General features: G+C 37.4%; 1 protein-coding gene across 10 annotated transcripts in view; it reads right to left on the bottom strand.

The window, feature by feature from the left end:
- ATRNL1 (attractin like 1) overlaps positions 1 to 22983 on the bottom strand; it is an 855635-nt gene that overhangs the window by 830079 nt on the left and 2573 nt on the right. The window contains exon 2 of one of the 10 annotated variants that reach the window (NR_074088.3): positions 22082 to 22276. The exons of 8 other annotated variants lie outside the window; for them this stretch is intronic. The gene's annotated coding sequence lies outside the window, so the exon portion shown is untranslated. Of the gene's footprint in view, positions 1 to 4173; positions 4302 to 22081; positions 22277 to 22983 lie in introns of those variants that run through there. One more of the 10 variants, XM_011539591.3, reaches the window with a different exon arrangement.

Below are 22983 nucleotides of genomic sequence, written 5' to 3'. Positions count from 1 at the left end.
ACTTCCAATAATATTAATACTAAGTGCAGTAATTCAGAAAAACTCTCCACTGAAGACAACTTAAAAAGTTAAAGGACAATTTTAAAATCTTACAAGTAACAAAATGATAAAATGTACAAAGCCAAGATCCAGAAGTTGCAAATTCTTTAAGAGGAGGCAGGCATTCAGAGATGCTTTTGTTCTGAGAGATTTGCTTATTTAGAAGAGACTGCCAAAAGGTTGAGAGTGCATTTAGTAGCCTCAAGGGGAGAGGAGGACAAAAGTTGGAAGCAATAACCCACAAAACATAGGGGTTCAAAGAAACAACAGGGCACTTTGACTTGGGACATAATGACTTGCTATTAAAATAGTGGTGTACCAGAAGTTAACCAGCCTTTACCTCAACTGTAGGTTAGCTATGAGTCATCTGAGCAGCAGAAAACTCCCAAGTCTTAAAATCGGCTTATGGTGCTGCCAGAACTGCCAATATGCCAAGTCTCCTAACAGAAGATACATGGTACTCTCTAAAGAAAGATAACATTATCCTGGGCCTTAAATTATTTCTATCAATAATTTTCAAATAAAATGTCTAGCATAATAACAGGTAGTTAAGCATATGAAACTACTACAAGAAAACATTGGGGAAACTCTCCAGGATATTGGACTGGGCAAAGATTTCTTGAGGAATAACCCACAAGCACAGACAACCAAAGCAAAAATGGACAAATGGGATCACATCAAGTTAAAAAACTTCTGCACAGCAAAGGAAACAGCAACATGAAGAGACAACCCACAGAATGGGAGAAAATATTTACGAACTATCCATCTGACAAAGGATTAATAACCAGAATATATACAGTGCTCAAACAACTCAACAGGAAAAAAAGCCAACAATCCAATTTTAAAAATGGGCTAAAGGTTTGAACAGACATTTCTCAAAAGAAGACATACAAATTTCAAATACGTACATGAAAAGGTGCTCAACATCACTGATCATCACAGAAATGAAAAGCAAAACTAAAATGAGATATCATCTTACCCCAGTTAAAATGGCTTATATCCAAAAGACAGGTAGTAAGAAATGCTGGCAAGGATATGGAGAAAAGGGAACCCTCTTATACTGTTTGTGGGAATGTAAATTAGTACAACCACTATGGAGAACACTTTGGAGGTTCCTCGTAAAAGTAAAAATTTAGCTACCATACGATTCAGCAATCCCACTGTTGGGTATATACCCAAAAGAAAGGAAATCAATATATTGAAATATCTGCACTCCCATGTTTGTTGTAGCTCTGTTCACAATAGCCAAGATTTGGAAGCAACCTACGTGTCCATCAACAGATGAACAGATAAAGAAATGTGGTACATAAACACAATGAATTACTATTCAGCCATAAAAATAATGTGATTCAGTCATTTGCAACAAAACGGATGTAACTGGATGTCATTATGTTTCGTGAAATAAGCCAGGCACAGAAAGATAAACATTATATGTTCTCACTGATTTGTGGGATCTAAAAAGCAAAACAATTGAACCCATGGAGAAAGAGAGTAGGAAGATGGTTACCAGAGGCTGGGAAGGGTAGTGGTAAAGTGAGGAGGAGGTAGGGATGGTTAAGGGGTACAAAAAAATAGAATGAATGAATGAATGAGACTAGTATTTGAAAGCACAACAGGGTGACTATAGTCAATAATAATTTAATTGTCCATTTTAAAATAACTGAGAGTATAATTGGATTGTTTGTAACACAAAGGATACATGCTTGAGATAAATACCCTATCTTCCATGATGTGATTATGCATTGCATGACTGTATCAAAATATCCCACATACCCCATAAACATATACACCTACTCTGTACCCACAAAAATTAAAAATATATATCCCCCTTCCTCCAAAGAAACATATATTGTAGGAGCTACCATAGTAATCCTTATCTCCCTCTTATAAGTGATGTGAAGGAACTGTTATGCCTCCCTACCTAAGCTAAACAATAGGAGTACCTGAAAACTACACACCCTGTCCCGTCCTATTCAACTTCAGTAGTACAATTTCCCAAACTTAAAAGGAAACTACTCACCACAATCCCTGAATTCCTTATCCTTAGCACTAAAGATCTTACCAAGAGCCCACCTTTTCCTCCACTTACTACAAAAAGGTTTCCTCCTTGCCAATACCAGTCCACTGGAAGCATGGGAGGATGTCACCAATCAAGGTAAAAGAAATGGAAAATTCCTTCTCACCACCAAAAGACATGCGTAAAGGGGAGAAATCTCCTGCTACTTCTATAATAAAGAAAGAACAATTCTCCTTCTTCAGTTTCATGATCTCTTCTTAAACTCCAAGAACCTTTACCTGCATGCCACTTGGGCAAAGCATTCCCATTACATACTTTGGACCTCTTTACAGTCTAGAACTGTTCTTCTAAAATTCAGAAGTCTTGCACTCCAGGACCATACTCTAACCATAAACACCTAGTTTTCCATTTATTTTTTTTTACTTCTTACTCCTAATACCCTTACATTCCAATTGTGTAGTGCTCTCCAGAAATTAGGTAGCACATAGTTCAACTCCCTAAAGAAAGTAAAATAGGCTCTTACATAACTACTATTTCTAATATTATTTCTAATACATATTCCAAGTTTCAAACAACTTTTTTTTAAACTTTCTATCATTCCTCTTCTTGAACTGAGAACCATACTGACTTATTCATCTAGATCAGTACTACATAAACTACTAGCCTGTTTGTGTAAATGAACTTTTATTGGAACACAACTACACTAGTTTGTTTAAGTATTATCTAAGATTGCTAACACACTACGAGGACAGAGTTGAGTACTGGCAACAGAGACCATCTGGCCAACAAAGCCTAAAATATCTACTATCTGGCCCTTTTCAGAAAAAGTTTGCCAATCACTTGTCTAGATGCCTGCCACATATCCATATGCCTTGTCAATATCTCATTCTAGCTGAAAGTAGAGTCCTTAATTAAAAGCATGCTGGGCTGTTTATAACACAAGGTTGGCCACTAATAAATGCAGGAAAACCAGCACAAATATTAGACAATACTAAAATTAAATCTAGTGGGATGTTGTTGTCTATCCTGACTATGGATATATAATTTGACTATGGATATATAACTTAACACATTATAAAAATAAGAAAGTGTGATAGTTTTAATTTACGAAATCTCTGAAACAATAAATCCTGTTTATCACAGAATATAGGTTTAGTCCTGGCATAACCAGCCTACAAGGAATAGTCAGATCCACTCAGGGATAGTCTTTATGCAGGGTGGCCTTTGTAAGCCTTTTTCACATAGAAATCTTTTTTAAAAACAGATTTTCTAGTTAAAATACTATTTATCAGCTTATTAATTCCTTTTTATTTTCATTTCATCTTTATTGACAAATAATAATTGTATATATTCATGGGGTAAAATGTGATGCTTCAATACATGTATACATTGCAGACTGAGCAGATCAGGCTAATTAACATACCCATCACCCCACATACATATTTTTTGCAGCAAAAATATTTAAAATCCACTCTATTAGCAATGTAGTATATGAAATACACAATGCACAATTAGTAACATTAGTCACTTCATTGTACAATAGAACGCCAACGAAATAATAGAACACTTATTCTTCCTAATTGAAACTTTGCACCCTTTGACCAATATTTTTCTTTTCCCTGCCCAACTGACCACCACCCACAGCTTCTGGTAACCCCCATTCTACTCTCTACTTCAATTGATTCAAATTTTTAGATTCCACATGTAAGTGAGATCAGGTGATATTTGTCTTTCTAAGCCTAGCTTATTTTGCATAACCTAATGGCCTCTAGTTTCATCTATGTTGTCACAAATGACAGGATTTTGTCCCTTTATAGGCTGAATACTATTTCATTATGTATATATACCTCTTTTTTTAATCCATTGATCCGTTGGTGGGCACTTAGGTTGTTTCCCAATATTGGCTATTATGAACAATGCTGCAATGAACATGTGAATGCAAACATCTCTCCAACATACTGATTCCAATTCCTTTGGATATATACTCAGACTGCTGGATCATATGGTGATTCTATTTTCAGTTTTTTGATGAACCTCCATATTTTTTTTCAAAATGGCTGTACTAATTTACTTTCCCCCAATAGTGTACAAAACTTCCCTTTTTGCCATATACTCACCAACACGTTATCTTTCATCTTTTTTATAAGAGCCATTTTAAGAGGTATGAGATGACATCCCATTGTGGTTTTGATCTGCATTTCCCTGATGATTAGTAATGTTGAGCATGTTTTCATATATGTTTTGACCTTTTGTATGTTTTCTTTTGAAAAATGTCTATTCAGATTATTTGCCCATGTTTAAATAGGGGTTATTTGTTTTCTTGTTATTGAATGATTTGAGTTCATTTTATGTCTTGGGTATGAGTCCCTTATCTGATGTATGATTTGCAAATATTTTCTCTCAATGTGTAGGTTGTCTCTTCACTCTGTTATTTCCTTTGATGTATAGAAGCTTCTTGATTCAATACCATTTGTCTATTTTTGCTTTTGCTGTCTGTGCTTTTGGAATCATGCAAGAAGTCATTGCTCAGACCAAAGTCATAGCTTTTCTCCTATGTTTCCTTCTAGTTGTTTTAGTTTCAGATCTTCCATTTAAATCTTTAATCCATTTTGAGTTGATTCTTCTATAAGGGATCAGATAAGGGTTTAATTTCATTCTTCTATATCTGGATACCTAGTTTTTTAGAATCACTTATTGACAAGACTGTCCTTTCTCCAATGTGTATTCCTCGAGCCTCTGTTGAAAATCAGTGGACAGCAGACAGGTGAATTTATTTCTGGGCTCTCTATCCTGTTCCATGGGTCAATTTGTCTGTTTTTATGCAGGTATCACGCTGTTTTAATAACTATGAGATGACTAAAAGTTCATGGAAAAAAAAACAGATAAAAATAAAAAATATAAACTTTATTTTTCAACATAAGTTCCATCAAAGTCAAGAAGCTTTTGTAAGCAATGATACCAGTCATTTAGTACATCCCTAAAGAGCTGAAGGTCCTAGGAATTTAACCATGTCAATGCAGTCTTGTTTACATTATCAACTGAAGAAAAATAGGTGCCCTTAGAAAACATTTTAAGATTAGTGTATTAGCATCCATTTTCATGCTGCTGATAAAGACATACCTGAGACTGGGCAATTTACAAAAGAAAGAGGTTTAATGGACTTACAGTTCCACGTGGCTGGGGAGCATGCACAATCATGGTGGAAGGCAAGGAGGAGCAAGTCATGTCTTACATGGATGGCAGCAGGCAGAGAGAGCTTGTGCAGGGGACCTCCTCTTTATAAAACCATCAGATCTCATAAGACTTATTCACTATCATGAGAACAGCATGGGAAAGACTTGGCCCCATGATTCAATTATCTCCCACCAGATCCCTCCCACAACACGTGGTAATTCAAGATAAGATTTGGGTGGGGACACAGCCAAACCATATCAATTAGGAAACAAACAAACAAACAAAACTCAAAAGGAGCCAAATCAGTACTATAAGGTGGATGCCTAATGATTTTCCATAGAAACTCTCACAAAATTGCCCTTGTTTGATGAAAGAAATGAACAGAAGCATTGTCATGGTGAAGAAGGACTCTCTGGTGAAGCTTTCCCAGGTGTTTTTCTGCTAAAGTTTTGGCTAACTCTCAAAACACTCTCATAATAAGCAGATGTTATATTTTGGCCATCCAGAAAGTCAACAAGGAAAATGCCTTTAGCATCCCAAAAAACTGCTGCCATGACCTTCGCTCTTGACCAGTCCACTTTTGCTTTGATTGAACCCCTTCTACCTCCTGGTAGCCATTGCTTTGATTGTGCTTTGTCTTCAGAATTGTAGTGGTAAAGTCATGCTTCACCTGTTACAATTCTTCCAAGAAATACTTCAAGATCTTGATCCCACTTGTTTATAATTTCCACTAAAACCTCTGCTCTTATCTCTAGTTAATCTGGTCCGAGTGGTTTTGGCACCCATAGATTGGAAAGTTTACTGAACTTTAATTTGCATTCAGAATTGAGTAAGTTGAATTAATTGAGATGTCTATGGTGTTGGCTATTGCTTCTGCTGTCAAACATCAGTCCTCTTCAATTAGAGAATGAACAAGATGATTTTTTCCTCACAAATTGATGTGAATAGTCTCCTGCTGCAGGCTTCATCTTCAACATCATATCATCCCTTCTTAAAATGAGTTACCCATTTATAAACTGCTGATTACTTTGGGGCATTGTCCTCCTAAACTTTTCATAAAGCATCAATAATTTCACCTTCTTCCACCCAAGCTTCACCATAAATTTGATGTTTGCTCTTGCTTCAATTTTAGCAGAATTTATGTTACTCTGATAGGGGCCCTTTTCAAACCAATGTCTTATCCTCCTTAGTGCCTCAAACTTGATCCCATTCAGACTTGTTATAACAATTTGGTATGAGTTTGTTTTGGTGCAAAAAAAATTTGAAATCCACGCAGTTTTTTCATAATATGCATTTTCCATTAACTTTTCAAAGACCAGTCAGCTAGTGTAATGCCTCTAGCTTTGTTCTTTTTGCTCAACAGTGCTTTAGCTATTTGTGGTCTTTTGTGGTTTCAAACAAATTATAGGATTTTTTTCTAATTCTATTTTGATAGGATTGCATAGAATCTGTGGATTACTTTGGGTAATATAGACATTTTAACAATACTCTTTCACTTCATGAATACACAAAGTATCTTTCCATTTACTTGTGTCACCTTCAATTTCTTTCATTAATGTTTTCTAGTTTTCTACATATAGATCTTTTACCTCTTTGGTTAAACTTATCGTAAGTTTTTTTTTGGGTTTTTTTTGTTTTGTTTTTTGATGCTATTGTAAATGGAACTGTTTTCCTAACTTCTTTATCAGATCATTCACTGTCAGACTATTTTAGGCACAGGAAATGCATTCTGACTACTATCTTCCACTACTGTTGTCCTACCTTGCAATACAGATCAGCAGTTGCCTAACTTGGCCCATAAATGAGTGGGTAATTTAATTTTGAGGTGAAATATTAGCCCATTATGGCCACACAAGAAAAAGATGTTCTCCAATTCAGTATTGATATAGTTGATATTTTAACCATTATCTATCTGACTTTGAGGCCTAATTCTCAACTGCTATGGTTTGAATATATGACTCCTCCAAACCTTACACTGAAATTTGATCCCTAATGTCAGAGGTGAGGCCTACTGAGAAGAGTTTGGGTCATGGAGGCAGATCCCTCATGAATGGCTTGGGGCCATCCTCACAGTAAAGAGTGAGTTCTCACTCTATTAGTTCCTGAGAGAGTTGGTTATGAAAAAGGGCCTGGCCGCTCCCACCCCTTGCTTCCTCTCCTGCCATATGAAATCTGCAGATACCAGCTCCCATTTGCCTTCTGCCATGAGTAGACGCAGCCTGAGCCCCGCAATACAAGCAGATGCTGGTGCCATGCTTCTTGTACATCCTGCAGAATCATGAGCCAAACAAATCTCTTTTCCTTACACATTATCCAGCGTCAAGTATTCCTTCGTAGCAATACAAATGGACTACAACATCAGCTGATTCTGAGCTCTATAATTCTAACAAGGATATTTCCAAATAAGATTTTAGCTCATTAATACATTTTTTCCTCAACATTCCCTTCAGCTACTGAGATAACTATACAACTCAAACATTTTTTAATCAGGGAATACTTCTCTTGCACATGGTAATCATTATTTTCAAATTAATCTACTATCTAATGATAAGATCAATCTCTTCCCCTTTTGGCTAAACTTCATCACATCTACTGATCATTTCATAACTTTATGCTATCTGTAAAATAGTTCTCCTATTCACTTTTTGGCTCAAATGGTAGACTGGAAGTATACTGTGCATCAAATAGGGTCAAATAAATCAGATATCTAAAATGCCAGAGCATCTTCCTTTCGTGGATCCAGACAGCAATTAGTAACCTTATGGCAAACATTTTGAGCATTAATTCTAACCATTCATGGCAGACCAAAGAAATCAAAGACAGGTACACAAGGTGTTATAAAAAGCTTAAATTAATAAATGACAATCACCTTGTATTATTACTGTTAAAGATAATAAAACTCAATTGACCATCATGTTTAAAGAATTAATTTAATTTTCTGGTTAACTCAGTATCATTGAAATTCAGCCAGAATAACTTTTTTCAACTATGTATTGCTAAATATGCCCCTAAATTTGTTTTTACTGCTGGTAACAAATTACCATAAACATAGAAATTTAAAAGAACATCCATTTATTATCTCACAGTTCTATAGGACAGAAGTCCCTATAGACTCAGATGGGTATTAGTTGAGCTAGGCTGTTATCCAGAGGCTCCAGAAAAGCATCCACTTCCAGGCTTATTCACTGTTGGTAGAATTCAGTTCATTCCAGTTATATGAATGAGGTCCCAACTTTCTTGCCAGTTGCTGACCAGGGGTTGCTCGCTCTCAGCACCAAGAGGCCACTTTCTCTAGTACTTTCAGGCATGGCTCCCTCCATCTTCAAACAAGCATTAGCATGTCAAATCCAGTTTATGCTTTGAGTCTTTAGCTTCCTCTTCTGCTAGCACCCAGGGGAAATACTCTGCTTTTAAAGGGCTCATGTGATTAGAGTAAGAAAACCCAAATAATCTCCCTCTTGACAAATGACATAACATAATCATGACAGTAATACCAGGGATAAAAGTCAAAAGGGCCATCTTAAAGTTCTGCCTACCTCAGTTTATTTCTATATTTTTGGAAATTATAATATGCTTTGATAACTCAGGATGGTAAAATACTGATATAATGATGTTATGATAAAACATCATTATAAAAATTCATTTTTATACATCTAAAGTACAGATTAGTTTGATTTTATACTGACTATATAAGATACCCTAGAAATTATTTTTTAACAAGTCACAGATACCAATTTGTTTATACAATTTGGCTCTTCAGCCTAAAATTAGGTAATGGTGATGGTTGTACCACTCTCTAAATATGCTAAACATAAGTGAACTGTACATCTTTAAAAGGTGAATATGGTGAGGTGCAAATTGTAACTCAGTAAAGCTCTGTTTTTTGAAAAGTGAGCTAGGTCATGTGTGCTGAACCAAAACAAGTTGATTGCCTCCTAAAACAGAATATTTAATTGTGAGGCAATTCTGAGGAGATCTCAGACAGAAAGGAGGAAAGAGATATTGCAAACTGGAATAACAGCCATCCTTGACATGAAGCAGAGTCTCTGCTATGGTTTGAATGTGTCCCTCCAAAAAAGTGTTGAAAACTTAATCCCCGATACAACAGTGTGGGGATGTGGAACCTAATGAGAGATGATTAGGCCATGAGAGCATAGCCCTCATGAATGGATTAATGCTGTTATTGCAGGAATGAGTTCCTTATAAAAGGATGATTTCACCCCCTTTTGCCCTCCTCTCTTTCTCTCTTCACCCTCTCTTTGCTCTTCTGTCATGCAATGATGCAACAAGAAAGCTCTTGCCAAATTCTGGCCCCTCAATCTTGGCCTTCCCAACAGAATCATAAGCCAATAAATTTTTATTCATTATAAATCACTAGGTCTCAAGTATTCTGTTATAGCAGCACAAAACTGAATAACACAAAAAACTGGTATTGAAGCATAGAACACTGCTTTATCAAATATCTGAAAATAGGGAAGCCACTTTGAAACTCAGCAATAAGTAGAGGCTGGGAGAGTTTGGGAAAAAAAAAGGCTAGAAAAAACTTGTATTGGTATGAAAAGAACATTAAGGATGATTCTGATGAGGGCTCAGAAGAGAACTGCAGGGAAAGCCTAAAACTTTGTAGAGATTACATTAGTGCTTATGATCAGAATATTGGCAGAAATGTGGAGAGTAAAGGGAACTCTGAGGAGATCTCAGACAGAAAGGAGGAAAGAGATACTGCAAACTGGAGTAATAGCCATCCTTGACATGAAGCAGCAAATAACTTGGCTGAATTGTGCCCATATCTGAGTGCTTCATGGAAGGCAGAATTTAAGAGCAATAAGCTAGTATAATGGGAGTTAGAAAGGAATTACTTAGTCAGAGAACAAGGGCATGGGAGTGCTTGGTAAGGCTTTCCTTTTCAATGAAAAGCAGCCCCAAATCATTTTCTAACAAGGAGCAGCCTGCAAGCTGAGAGCTTGCATGGGTGAATGCTGACAGGAACTAAGGACTAGACATTTTCAAAATGGTGGCTCCATCCTCTCTTCTCTGCCAGCCATGTGTATTGTAAGGAGCAGACAAGATGATGCTGATCAACTGGGAAATCCATTTTCATAAGAAGATTATGGTGGGGCAACCAGCCTTCCCCATGCACTATGTAAACTTCATACCTGATCTAACCAATCTGTGACCCCTACAGAAATCAGACACTGCCTCCTCAAACTGGACTATAAAACTCGGCACATTTGCCACCAGCCAGTCCTTTCCGATCAGAGACCCCTCCCTTTATAAAGGAGGCTGTTTCTCTTTCTCTTATCTTCTACCTATTAAACCTCTACTCCTAAACCCCTTGTGTGTGTCCATGCCCTAAATTTTCCTGGTGCATGATGATGAACCCCAGGGTATATACCCCAGACAATGTAGCCACTTCACTAGGATATCTGGTGGAAGAAATTTCTAAGCAAAATATTGAAAGAGCTGCGTGGCTACTTTTAACTGCATATAGTAAAGATGCGAGAAGGTAGAATGATTTAAAAACAAAACATATTATGAAAAGGGAAGCAGAAAGTAATGATTTGGAAAAGTCACAGTTTGTATATGTAAAGAACAAAAAAGCAAAGCATGCAAGGGTGTGGCCAAGGAACCCTTGCATAAGGGGATTAGCATGGATAAAAGGAAGTCACGTGCTATTCATCAAGATAGAAAGAGATCTTGAAGGCATTTCAGAGGTCTCCTGGGCTGCCCCTCCCATCTAGGATCCTGAGATCACAGTTTCCAGAAAGGCATCTATGGGACCTCAGCATTCACTGCCCTGTGCTGCCTCAAGTATCTGCTCCCTGCATTCTGGCACAGCTTCCCTTAGCCTCCCCAGTCACTGTTCAAGCAAACCAGGGTGTGTCTCTGGCTGCAGCTCTGAAAAGTATAGGAAATAAACCTTGGTGGTATCCATCCATGTGGTGCCAATTCTGCAGGTGCACAGACTGCACAAGTTGTGGAGATGCGGCTACCTCAATGTAGATCTGAAAGGATGCTACAGCAGCAGACTCATCATAAAGTACTTGCTAGAGCAATGCCTAATAGGGCCATGGGAGCAGGGCTGCCTCTGAGACCTCAGAACTATAGAGTCACCCATGTGCAGCCTCAGACTATAAGAGCGGCAGGCATGAGCCTCCAACCCATGAGAGCTGCTATGTAGGCTCAGCCCAGCAAAGCCTAAGGGCTGGGCTGCCTGAGGTCTTGGGAGCCCAATCCTCATCCAAGTATGCTCAGAAGGCGAAACATAAAGTCAAAAAAGATTATTCTCTAGCTTTCAGATTTAACATTGTTTGTTCTGTTGGGTTCTGGACTTATTTGGGGCCTGTTACCCCTTTTTTTCTTTTGGAACGGGAATGTAGATCCTATACCTGTCTCACCATTGCACTTTGGAAGTAAACAACTTGTTTTGATTTCACAGGCTCACAGCTGGAAGGGAATTTGCCCCAGGATGAATTGTGCCTTGAGTCTCACCTACATCTGATTTAGAAGAGACCCTAGACTTTGGACTTTTGAGTTGGTGCTGGACTGAGTGAAGGCTCTGGATTAGTGTTGAGAGGTGGGGCATAATGGGAGGTGATTAAACCATGAGGGCATTAACGCTGTTACCTCAGGAGTGAGTTCATTATCAGGGGAATGGGTTCCTTATAAAAGGATGAGATTTGAATGCTTTTGCCTATCCCTTGACCCTCTATTTACCCTCTGCCACAGGATGATGCAGCAAGAAAGCCCTTACAAGATGTCAGCCTCTTGATCTTAGACTTCCCAGCCTCCAGAATCATGAGCCAATATATCTCTATTCATTATAAATTACCAAGTGTATTAGTCCATTTTCACACTGCTGATAAAGACACACCCAAAACTGGGAAGAAAAGGAGATTTAACCAGACTTACAGTTCCACATGGCTGGGGAGGCCTCAGAATCATGGTGGGAGGTGAAAGGCACTTCTTACATGGCAGTGGCAAGAGAAAAATGAGGAAGAAGCAAAAGCAGAAACACCTGATAAACCCAGCAGATATTGTTGAGACTTACTCACTATCACGAGAATAGCACGGGAAAGACTGGCCCCCATGATTCAATTACCTCCCGCTGGGTAATTCCTTTACATAACACATCAAAAAATTCTAGGAGATACAATTCAAACTGAGGCTTGAATGGGAACACAGCCAAACCATATCATTCTGCCCCTGGCCCCTCCAAATCTCATGTCCTCACATTTCAAAACAAATGATGCTTTCCCAACAGTCCCCCAAAGTCTTAACTCATTTCAGCACCCCCAAGGTCTCATCTGAGACAAGGCAAGTTTTTTCCATTTATGAGCCTGTAAAATCAAAAGCAAGCTAGTTACTTCCTAGATACAATGGGGGTATAGGTATTGGATAAATACAGCCATTCCAAATGGGAGAAATTGGCCAAAACAAAGGGGTTACAGGGCCTATGCAAGTCCGAAATCCAACAGGGTAGTCAAATTTTAAAGCTCCAAAATGATCTCCTTTGACTCCAGGTCTCTCATCTAGGTCATGCTGATGCAAGAGGTGGGTTCCCATGGTCTTGGGCAGCTCCGACCCTGTGGCTTTGCAGAGTACAGCCTCATCCTGGCTGCTTTCATGGGCTGTCGTTGAACATCTGCGGCTTTTCCAGGCACATGGTGCAAGGTGTAGGAGCATCTACTGTTCTGGGGTCTGCAGGACAGTGGCCCTCTTCTCACAGCTCCACTAGGCAATGTTCCAGTAGGGACTCTGTGTGGGGGCTCCAACCCCACTTTTCCCTTCCACACTGACATACAAAGGTTCTCCATGAGAGTCCCACCCCTGCAGCAAACTTCTGCCTGGACATCCAGGCGTTTCCATAAATCTTCTGAAATGCAGACAGAGGTTCCCAAACCTCGATTCTTGACTCCTGTGCACCCGCAGGCTCAACACCACATGGAAGCTGCCAAGGCTTGGAGCTTGCACCCTCTGAAGCCACAGCCTGAGCTGCACCTTGGCCCCTTTTAGTCATAGCTAGAGCAGCTGGGACAAGGGACACCAAGTCCCTAGGCTGCATACAGCACAGGAACCCTGGGCCTGGCCCACAAAACCATTTTTTCCTCCTATGCCTCCAGGCCTGTGATGAGAGGGGCTGCCCCGAAGATCTCTGACGTGGCCTGGGGACATTTTCCCCATTGTCTTGGAAATTAACATTTGGCTTCTCGTTACTCATGCAAATTTCTGCAGCTGGCTTAAATTTCTCCTCAGAAAATGGGATTTTCTTTTCTATCATTGTCAGGCTGTACATTTCCCAAATTTTTATGCTCTGTTTCCCTTTGAGAATGGAATGCCTTTAACAGCACCCAAGTCACATCTTGAATGCTTTGCTGCTTAGAAATTTCTTCTGCCAGATACCTTAAATCATCTCGCTGAAGTTCAAAGTTCCACAAACCTCTAGGCAGGGGAAAAATGAAAGAAATTGAAGAAGACACCAAAAAAAATGGAAAGATATTTCATGCTCATGGATTGGAAGAATCAATATTGTTAAAATGTCCATACTATCCAAACCAATCTACAGATTCAAGGCAATCCCTATCAAAATGCCAATGACATTTTTCACAAAAATAGAAAAAAAATCATAAAATATATGCAGAGCCAAAAAGACCCAGAATAGCCAAAGCCATTCTAAGCAAAAAGAGCAATACTGGAAGCATCATATTACCTGACTTTAAATTATACCACAGAGCTATAGTAACCAAAGCAGCATGGTACTGGCATTAAAAAAAGAGAAAAAAAAAGGACACATAGAGCAATTACAGAATAGGGAACCCAGAATAAATCCATACTTACAGTGAACTCATTTTTGACAAAGGTGTCAAGCACATACACTGGGGAAGTAACAGTCTCCTCAATAAATTGTGCTGGGAATACTGGATATCCATATGAAGAATAATGAAGCTGGACCCCTATCTCTCACCATATACAACAATCAAATGAAAATGGATTAAAGACTTAGAAATCTAAGACCTCAAACTATGAAACTACTACAACATTGGGAAAACTCTCCAGGACACCTGGAGACTAGGCAAAGATTTCTTGAGTAATACCCCACAAGTACAGGCAACCAAAGCAAAAATGGATAAATGGGATCATATCGAGTTAAAAAGTTTCTGCACAGCAAAGGAAACAATCAACAACATGAAGAGACGATCCACAGAATGGAAGAAAATATTTGCAAACTATCATTCTGACAAGGGATTAATAACCAGATTATATAATAAGCTCAAACAATGCTGTAAGAAAAAAAATCTAATAATCCAATTCAAAAATATGCAAAAGATCTGAATAGACATTTCTCAAAAGAAGACATACCAATGTCAAAAGGTAAATAAAAAGATGCTCAACATCACTGATCATCAGAGAAATGAAAATCAAAACTACAATGTGATATTATCTCACTCCAGTTAAATAGCTCATATCCAAAAGGCAGACAGAAACAAATGCTGGCAAGGATATAGAGAAAAGGGAACCCTCTTACATTGTTGGTGGGAAGGTAAATTAGTGTAACTACTATGCAGAACAGTTTGCAGGTTCCTCAAAAAATTAAAAATAGAGCTACCATATGATTCAGCAATCCCACTGCTAGGTATTTACCTAAAAGAAAGGAAATCAGTATATTGAAGAGACAGCTGTACTTCAATGTTTTCTGCAGCTCTATTCACAACAGCCAAAATTTGGAAGCAACCAAAATGTCCATCAAGAAATGAATGGATAAATAAACTGTGGTACATATACACAAGGGAGTACTATTCAGCCATAAAAAAGAATGATATCCTGTCATTCACAACAACATGGATGGAACTGGACGTCATTACATTACATGAAATAAGCCAGGCACAGAAAGACAAACATTGCATTTTCTCAGTTATTTCTGGGAGCTAAAAATTAAAATAGTTGAATTCATGGAGACAGAGTAGAATGATGGTTACCTGAGGCTGGGAAAGGTATTGGAGTGGGGGAAATGGGGATGGTTAATGGGTAGAAAGTATAATTAGTATGAATTGTTTATAACACAAAGAAAGGATAAATGCTTGAGGTAATGAATACCCTATTTACCCTGATGTGGTTATTAGGCATTGTATACCTGTATCAAAATATCTCATTTATCCCATAAATATATACACCTATAACGTAACCACAAAAATAAAAAATAAAGAGATATGGGCGAGGAAATATCACCAAAGAAAGATTTCCCTGATTATTTTTTTAAAGTCTACAAACTGGAAATTGAAATTAAAAGAAATACTACCAACTACAATAGCCTTAAAGAACATAAAATATTTTGGTATAAAATCAAAAAATATGACCAGGCGCAGTGGCTCACATCTGTAATCCCAGCACTTTGGGAGGCTGAGGCAGGCGGATTGCCTGAGGTCAGAAGTTCGAGACCAGCCTAGCCAACATGGCGAAACCCCATCTCTACAAAAAATACAAAAAATCAGCCAGGCGTGATGATGGGCGCCCGTAATCCCAGCTACTCAGGAGGCTGAGGCACGAGAATCGCGTGAACCCAGGAAGCAGGGGTTGCATTGAGCCGAGATCATGCCATTGCACTCCAGCCTGAGTGACAGAGCATGACTCCATCTCAAAAAAAAAAAAAAACACTAAAAATATATACACAGAATCTGTATCTGATAACTACAAAAAACTGTTGTAAAAAATCAATGAAAACCCAAATAGATGAAAAAAACATACTGCAATGAAGAACGAGATAATTCAATATTATTTACATATCAATTCTCCTCAAAATGATTTACTAAGTCAACACAATCTCAATAAAAATCCCAGCAAGACTTTTTTAATTGACAAACAGTTCTAAAATGTATATGAAAAACAAAATGAACCAAGTAAATTTTCAAAAATAAAAATAAAGTTGGGGGAATCTCATTATCTAACTTCAAGATTTACTGTAAAAATATACTAATCTTAGCATTTTGGGAGGCCGAGGTGGGTGGATCACCTGAGGTCAGGAGTTAGAGACCACCAGCCTGGCCAACATGGCAAAACCTCATCTCTACCAAAAATACAAAAATTAGCCAGGTGAGGTGGCACATGCTTGTAATCCCAGCTGCTCAAGAGGCTGAGGCAGGAGAACCGCTTGAACCTGACGAGCAGAGATTTCAGTGAGCTGATACCATGCCACTGCACTCCAGCCTGGGCAACAGAGTGAGACTCCATCTCAAATATATGTATGTGTATATATATATACACATATACATACATTAATAAAGTACATACATACATTAATAAAGTGAGGAATTTGCAAAAGGATAGAGATATGGATCAATGGAACAGAAAAGAGTCAAAAAATAAATATACATAAAGACGTCCAATTAACTTTCAATAAAGGTACAAAGACATTAATGAAAAAAGGATAGTCTTTTCAACAAATGGTCATTGGATAACGATAAAGGCTCAGTTTATCAGGAGGACATAATCCAAAATTTTATGCACCTAATAACATAGTTTCAAAATACATGAAGGATAAACAGATAAGACTGCAGGGACAAACAGGTAAATACAAAATTATAACTGAAGATACCCTTCTCTCAATAAGTGGTAAAAACAGACAGAAAATCAGAATGGTTGTAGAAGACTTGAACAAGACTATCAACCAAGTTGACCTAACTGAAATGTATACAACACTCCACCCATCAATAGAAGAATACACATTATTTTCACACGCCCAAAAAAATACTTAACCAAGATAGACAATATTCTGGCCAATAAATTTTAAAGGATTCTAGTCATATAGCCTTCTGTATATTAAATAAGTTGAATGTATATTAATAAAAGTTGAATTTGGAGTTAAAGAAAACTTCAGGCCTAGAGGGTGTCGATGGTGAATTCCACCAAACACTAATGAAGAAATAATGCCAATTCCCTAAAAACTCTTTCAGCAAATGATCAGGAGAGTCCCATGGTGCTCATTATATGAGGCCAGCATTATCTTGTCACCAAAACTAGTCATATATTATAAGAAAAGTGCAGACTAATATCTCTCATGAACACAGATACAAAAATTCTAAATAAAACTTTAACAAACCAAATCCAACCTAAAATAAAAAGGAAAGCATATTGTGTCAGAGGAAGTTTATCTTAGGAATGTAAGGTTGGTTTAACATTCAAAAATTATGTACATAATTCACCATGTTAACAAACTTGAAAAAATCATATGATTATCTCAATGGGCACAGAAAATGCATTTAATACAATCCAGTTTCCATCACTGGTAAAAACTCTTGGCAAACTAGGAATAGAAGGGAACTTTCTCAGTGTGATAAAAGGCATCTAAAAAAAAAACTTACAGATAACATCATACTTCATGGTTAAAGATCAAATATCTCCCCCTAAATCTTAAGTAAGATTGACCACTCTCATCACCTCTATTCATTACTGTAATAGAGGTTCTGGCCAGTGAAATAAGGCAAGAAAAAAAAAGGCATCTAGATTGTAAAGAAAGAAGTAAATATATCTTTGTCTGTAAACAATATAATCATCTAAGTAGAAAGCCATAAGGAATCTGCAAAAATCTACCACAAGTAATAAGTAAGTTTGGCAAGATTGCAAGATAAAAAATCAAACATACACAAATCAGTTGTGTTTCAGTATAATAGCAACAATCAAAAGTGAAAGTTTAAAAAATGCCATTTACAATAGCATCCAAAAATATTAACTACTTAGGGAAAAATCTGACAAAAGAGGTGCAAGATCTATTGACTAGAAATTTAAAAACACTGCTGACAGATTAAACAACTAAATAAATAAACAGATATACCATGTAGGAAACTCAAAACTGACAAGGTATTCATTTTCCCCAAAATTGATCTATAGACTCAACATAATTACAAACAAAATCCTAGTAGGCTTTTTATAGAAACTGACAAGCTGATTCTAAAATTCATATGGAAATACAAAGGACTCAGAGTAGCCAAAATAATTGGAAAAGAACAAAACTGAAAAACACTCCCAGAATTCAAGACTTACAAAGAAACAATAATCAAGACATTGTTGTACTGACATACAAATAGACAAAGAGATCAAGAAACAAAGCAGAGTCCAGAAATAGAAACACAAATATATGAATGGTTTCAACAAAGGTGCAAAGCTACTTTAACAGAGAAAGAATACTCTTCTCAACAAATAGTGCTAAAACAAATACCTATATGCCAAAAAACTGAATTTAGATCCATACCTCTCCCCATATATAGAAATTAACTTAAAATGGACCATAAATATAAATGTAAAATCTAAAATTACAAAACTTCTAGAGAAAAAAAATGAAGAAAATCTTCATCAACTTGGTTTAGGCAGTTTTCTTTTTTTTTTTATTTTTTATTTTTTAAAGACATGGTCTTGCTGTGTTGCCCAGGATGGAGTACAGTGACACAATCACAGCTCAGCTCACTGCAGCCTCCAATTCCTGTGTTAAAGTGATCCTCCCATCTCAGCCTTCCAAGTAGATGGGCTAAATGCGCACACCGCCACGACCAGCTAATTTTTCAAATGTTTTTGTATAGGCAGTGTCTTGCCTTGTTTCCCAGGCTGCACTCAAATTCCTAGACTCAAGTGATCCTCCTGTCTCAGGCTCCCAAAGCGCTGGGATTACACACATGAGCCACAGTACCCAGCCTAGGCAAACTTTTCTTAGGCACAACATGAAAAGTATAAAAGAAAAAAATGATAAACTGGAATTAATCAATTTAAAACTTAGATTCTTTGAAAAATACTGTCAAGAGATTTCATTCTCTTTGCATTGTTTTCATAGACAAGCCGCAGACTGGTAGAAAATATATGCAAATGATATACCTCATAAGAAGCTAGTAATCCAGAAAATGTAAAGAACTCACAAAAATCAGTAAGAAAATTTTTTTAACATGCAAAAGGTTTGAATAAATGCCTATTACAGAAGATATACGGATGGCAAGTAAGCACATGAGAAGATACTCAATATCATTAGTAATTCGGGAAATGCAAACTAAAACCCAATAATATACCATTCACTTATTAGAATCACAAAAATTTAAAAGACTAACCATACCAAGTATTGGTATGGATGTGAAATTAACTAGATAGAACACTGACTCACTGCTGGTGGGAACATAAATGATACAACTACTTTGGAAAACAGTTTGTCGGTTTCTTTAACAGTTACACATATATCTACCCATATGATCCAGCCATTCTCAGGTTATTTCCCCAAGAGAAAGGAAAGCATATGACCATACAAAGATAAAAAGGCTTCCACATGAAACTTCGTAGCAGCTTTATAAGGAACAGCCAAAAATTTGAAACAATCCAAATGTCCATCAGCAGTTGAATGGATAAACAAATTATGGTGTATCCAGACACTGGAACACTATTCGGCAGTAGAATAAACTACTAACACACCATGAATGAATCTCAAAATAAACACGCTGTGTGAAAGAAGCCAGACAAAAAAGAAGTATATAATGTATGATTCTATTTACAAAAAGTTCTAGAAAATACCAACAAATCTATAGTGAGAGAAAGCAGATCAATAGTTGCCCTGGGACAGGAATTGGCAACTAGAAAAGGGAGGGTTTACAAAGGAAACACATGGAAACTTTCTAGCGTGATTGGTATTTTTATGATTTTGATTGTGGTGACAGTTTCAGATGCAAATACATATGACAAAACTTATCAAATTGTATAATTTAAATAAATTGTACATTTTAAATTGTGCTGTTTGACAATTATACCTCAATCTCTTAAAAATTTTGTTTAAATAACTATCAAAATTATAATTAAACACCTCATTTTTGACAATACTAAGAAGGAAAAATAGTGCTATTAGGGCAGTATATAAGGGGTAACCTAGTGTGAAGAGTCAGACAAGCCTCCTTTAGAAACTAGTATTTAAGTGGCCAGGCGCAGTGGCTCACGCCTGTAATCCCAGCACTTTAGGAGGCCGAGGCGGGTGGATCACGAGGTCAGGAGATCGAGACCATCCTGGCTAACACGGTGATACCCCGTCTCTACTAAACAAAAAATTAGCCGGGCGTAGTGGCGGGCGCCTGTAGTCCCAGCTACTCGGGAGGCTGAAGCAGGAGAATGGCGTGAACCCAGGAAGCGGAGCTTGCAGTGAGCCGAGATTGCGCCACTGCACTCCAGCCTGGGTGACAGAGCCAGACTCGGTCTCAAAAAAAAAAAAAAAAAAAAAAAAAAGAAACTAGTATTTAAGCTAAGATTAGAAGGATGATCAGTAATCACCCAAGCAAAGACCAGAGAGGAAAGAGTTCACAGTTACGTGTATAAAATGCACTAAGGCCAAAAGGAATGTGACACTTTCAAGGAACTTCAAAAGGCCAGTCAGGGCAGAGGAAAGGAGGCCTGAGTCTAATCAGCTAAAGGGGCCAAATCATGCAGACACGTGTTCTTGAAAACCATGCTACTATGCTTCTACAAGTAACTTACCTTATCAATTTAGAATCTAAGAAACACTCAATTTAAATTATTTTAAATTCCTACTGTGTGATTATACACTTTAATAATGTAAAAATAATCCATGGATATAAATTATCCATTAAAATAAAACTTTGAAATAAAGAAGTCTTAGGGACAGGGAACATTCAGTTTAAGTTTATAATTACTGTCAGTTTCCTTACAAGTAAAAAGGATTCCAAATATATATGTATTTACATATGCATATATATATATTTGTTTTTTGTTGTTGTTGTTTATTTTTGTTTTGTTTTGAGACGGAGTCTCGCTCTGTTGCCCAGGCTGGAGTGCAGTTGCGCGACCTATGCTCACTGCAACCTCCGCCTCCTGGGTTCAAGCGATTCTCCTGCCTCAGCCTCCTGAGTAACTGGGACTACAGGTGCGTGCCATCACACCCAGCTAATTTTTGTATTTTTAGTAGAGACGGGGTTTCACTGTGTTAGCTAGGATGGTCTCGATCTCCTGACCTCATGATCCGCCCGCCTCGGTCTCCCAAAGAGTTGGGATTACAGGCGTGAGACACCAAGCCAGGCAATATGCATATATTTTTAACAGCTTAGGGGAAGAGTTTACACACTTTATTCTGCCCGTTTTTGTCTATAATAACAACCTAATTCCTGACATTATATCATTACATCTTCATTTTGCTGTCACTACAAATAGAATGCTTCATATATGTATATATAAATTTTTAAGAAGAGTCTCGCTCTGATACCCAAGCTGGAGCGCAGTGGCGTGATTACAGCTCACTGCAGCCTCAACCTCCTGAGCTCAAGGAATTCTTCCGCCTCACTCTCTCTTGTAGCTGTGACCACAGGTGTGTGCCACCATGCCCAGCTACTTTTAAAATATTTTTTGTAGAGATGAGGTCTCACTATCTTGCCCAGACTGGTCTCAAACTTCTGGGCTCAAGGGATCCTTCCACCTCGGCCTCCCAAAGTGCTGGGATTACAGGCCTGAGCCACGGCACCCAGCATACTTCCATTTTAAATGCGTGAAATGAAGTATCCAAATTTGACTAACCTAAGAGGGGTAAAAATATACCCCTTTATATTTGACTAATATAAAGAGCAATACTCTTTATATTTATATAAATTTATATAAATCTCTACTCTACAAAATTAATTCTCAAGGGCTCCCTTCTAAAAGAGAACGTCATTCAAATAGATTATAGCAGAATATTTTCTTGCTTAACATTACACTGAACTATTCAAATAAATACAACTTGAATTAGAGTCTGTATCTTTGATTATTATATTTCAAATATATTTTCCTATTCTCAATCCCAAGTCCTTTAGTCTAGCTTTGGGTGAAAAATCAATGTTCCTTTTGTTTTACCTGTGTAAGGAAGGAATGGCTTGTTATTCTGAGTGCTTTATTCTTTTCAAATGGAAACAGAAGACTGGAATCAATGCTAAGAGAACTGAAGTACCACTTTTGATACTATATTTGCTTCTGCATTTCTTCCCCCAACTATCAATCTTCTATCCTCAAGAAACATTTGAAGAACATTTTTATTCCCTGGCGAAATCCCTATAGTAGAAAAAAAGCTAAGTTACCATGGAGCCAACCAATTAATTTTGACACCTGCTTACCAAGATTGATCAATCATTTTTAATGTCTGTTTGTAAGGTTGCTATCCTTCAGTTTAGAAAAAGATTTTCAAGATAGTTAGTGAAGTGAGATTTTCTAGTTAAAGCCTTTCCCACTGTGTTATTACTTCAAATGCCAGGTAAAACAAGCTACTATCTTCAAATAAACCTTTCATAGGTTTATTTGCATGTACTTTACCAAGAAGAATTCTTTTCTACTATACATAATCCTTCTCTTTAACATTAAATACCAATGTGTTCTTTATCCCCAAGAGTATACATAATAAAAACACAGATCGTTACACCAGTTATATTTACTCTAATTAATAGCTTGTATTCCACAGAGAAATGCAAAAGCATTTACCCAATAGAGTACAATGAGTCCTAGGAAATAATAGCTTCCAAGGAAAAGATGAATACTCAGTGATTAGCTCAGGATTTATTGTTATTTAACAATATCTACATCAAATATCTATTCTTCTTCTACTCACTAATGTATTTTGTTTATGAACACCACCTCTCAATGTTATTTAAGCTAGTTTTAACTTGATCTGTGATCTTTTTAACTGGGACAACATCTGCTAGTGAGGTCACAGGCTGCTGATCCAGCTGATTAACAAGTTCCGCTACTTTAAAATGAAGCTTCTC

The sequence above is a fragment of the Homo sapiens genome, chromosome 10 (assembly GCF_000001405.40).
Source record: "Homo sapiens chromosome 10, GRCh38.p14 Primary Assembly".
NCBI classification, from domain to species: Eukaryota; Metazoa; Chordata; class Mammalia; order Primates; family Hominidae; genus Homo; species Homo sapiens.
This window is presented reverse-complemented; position numbering and strand designations above follow the sequence as displayed.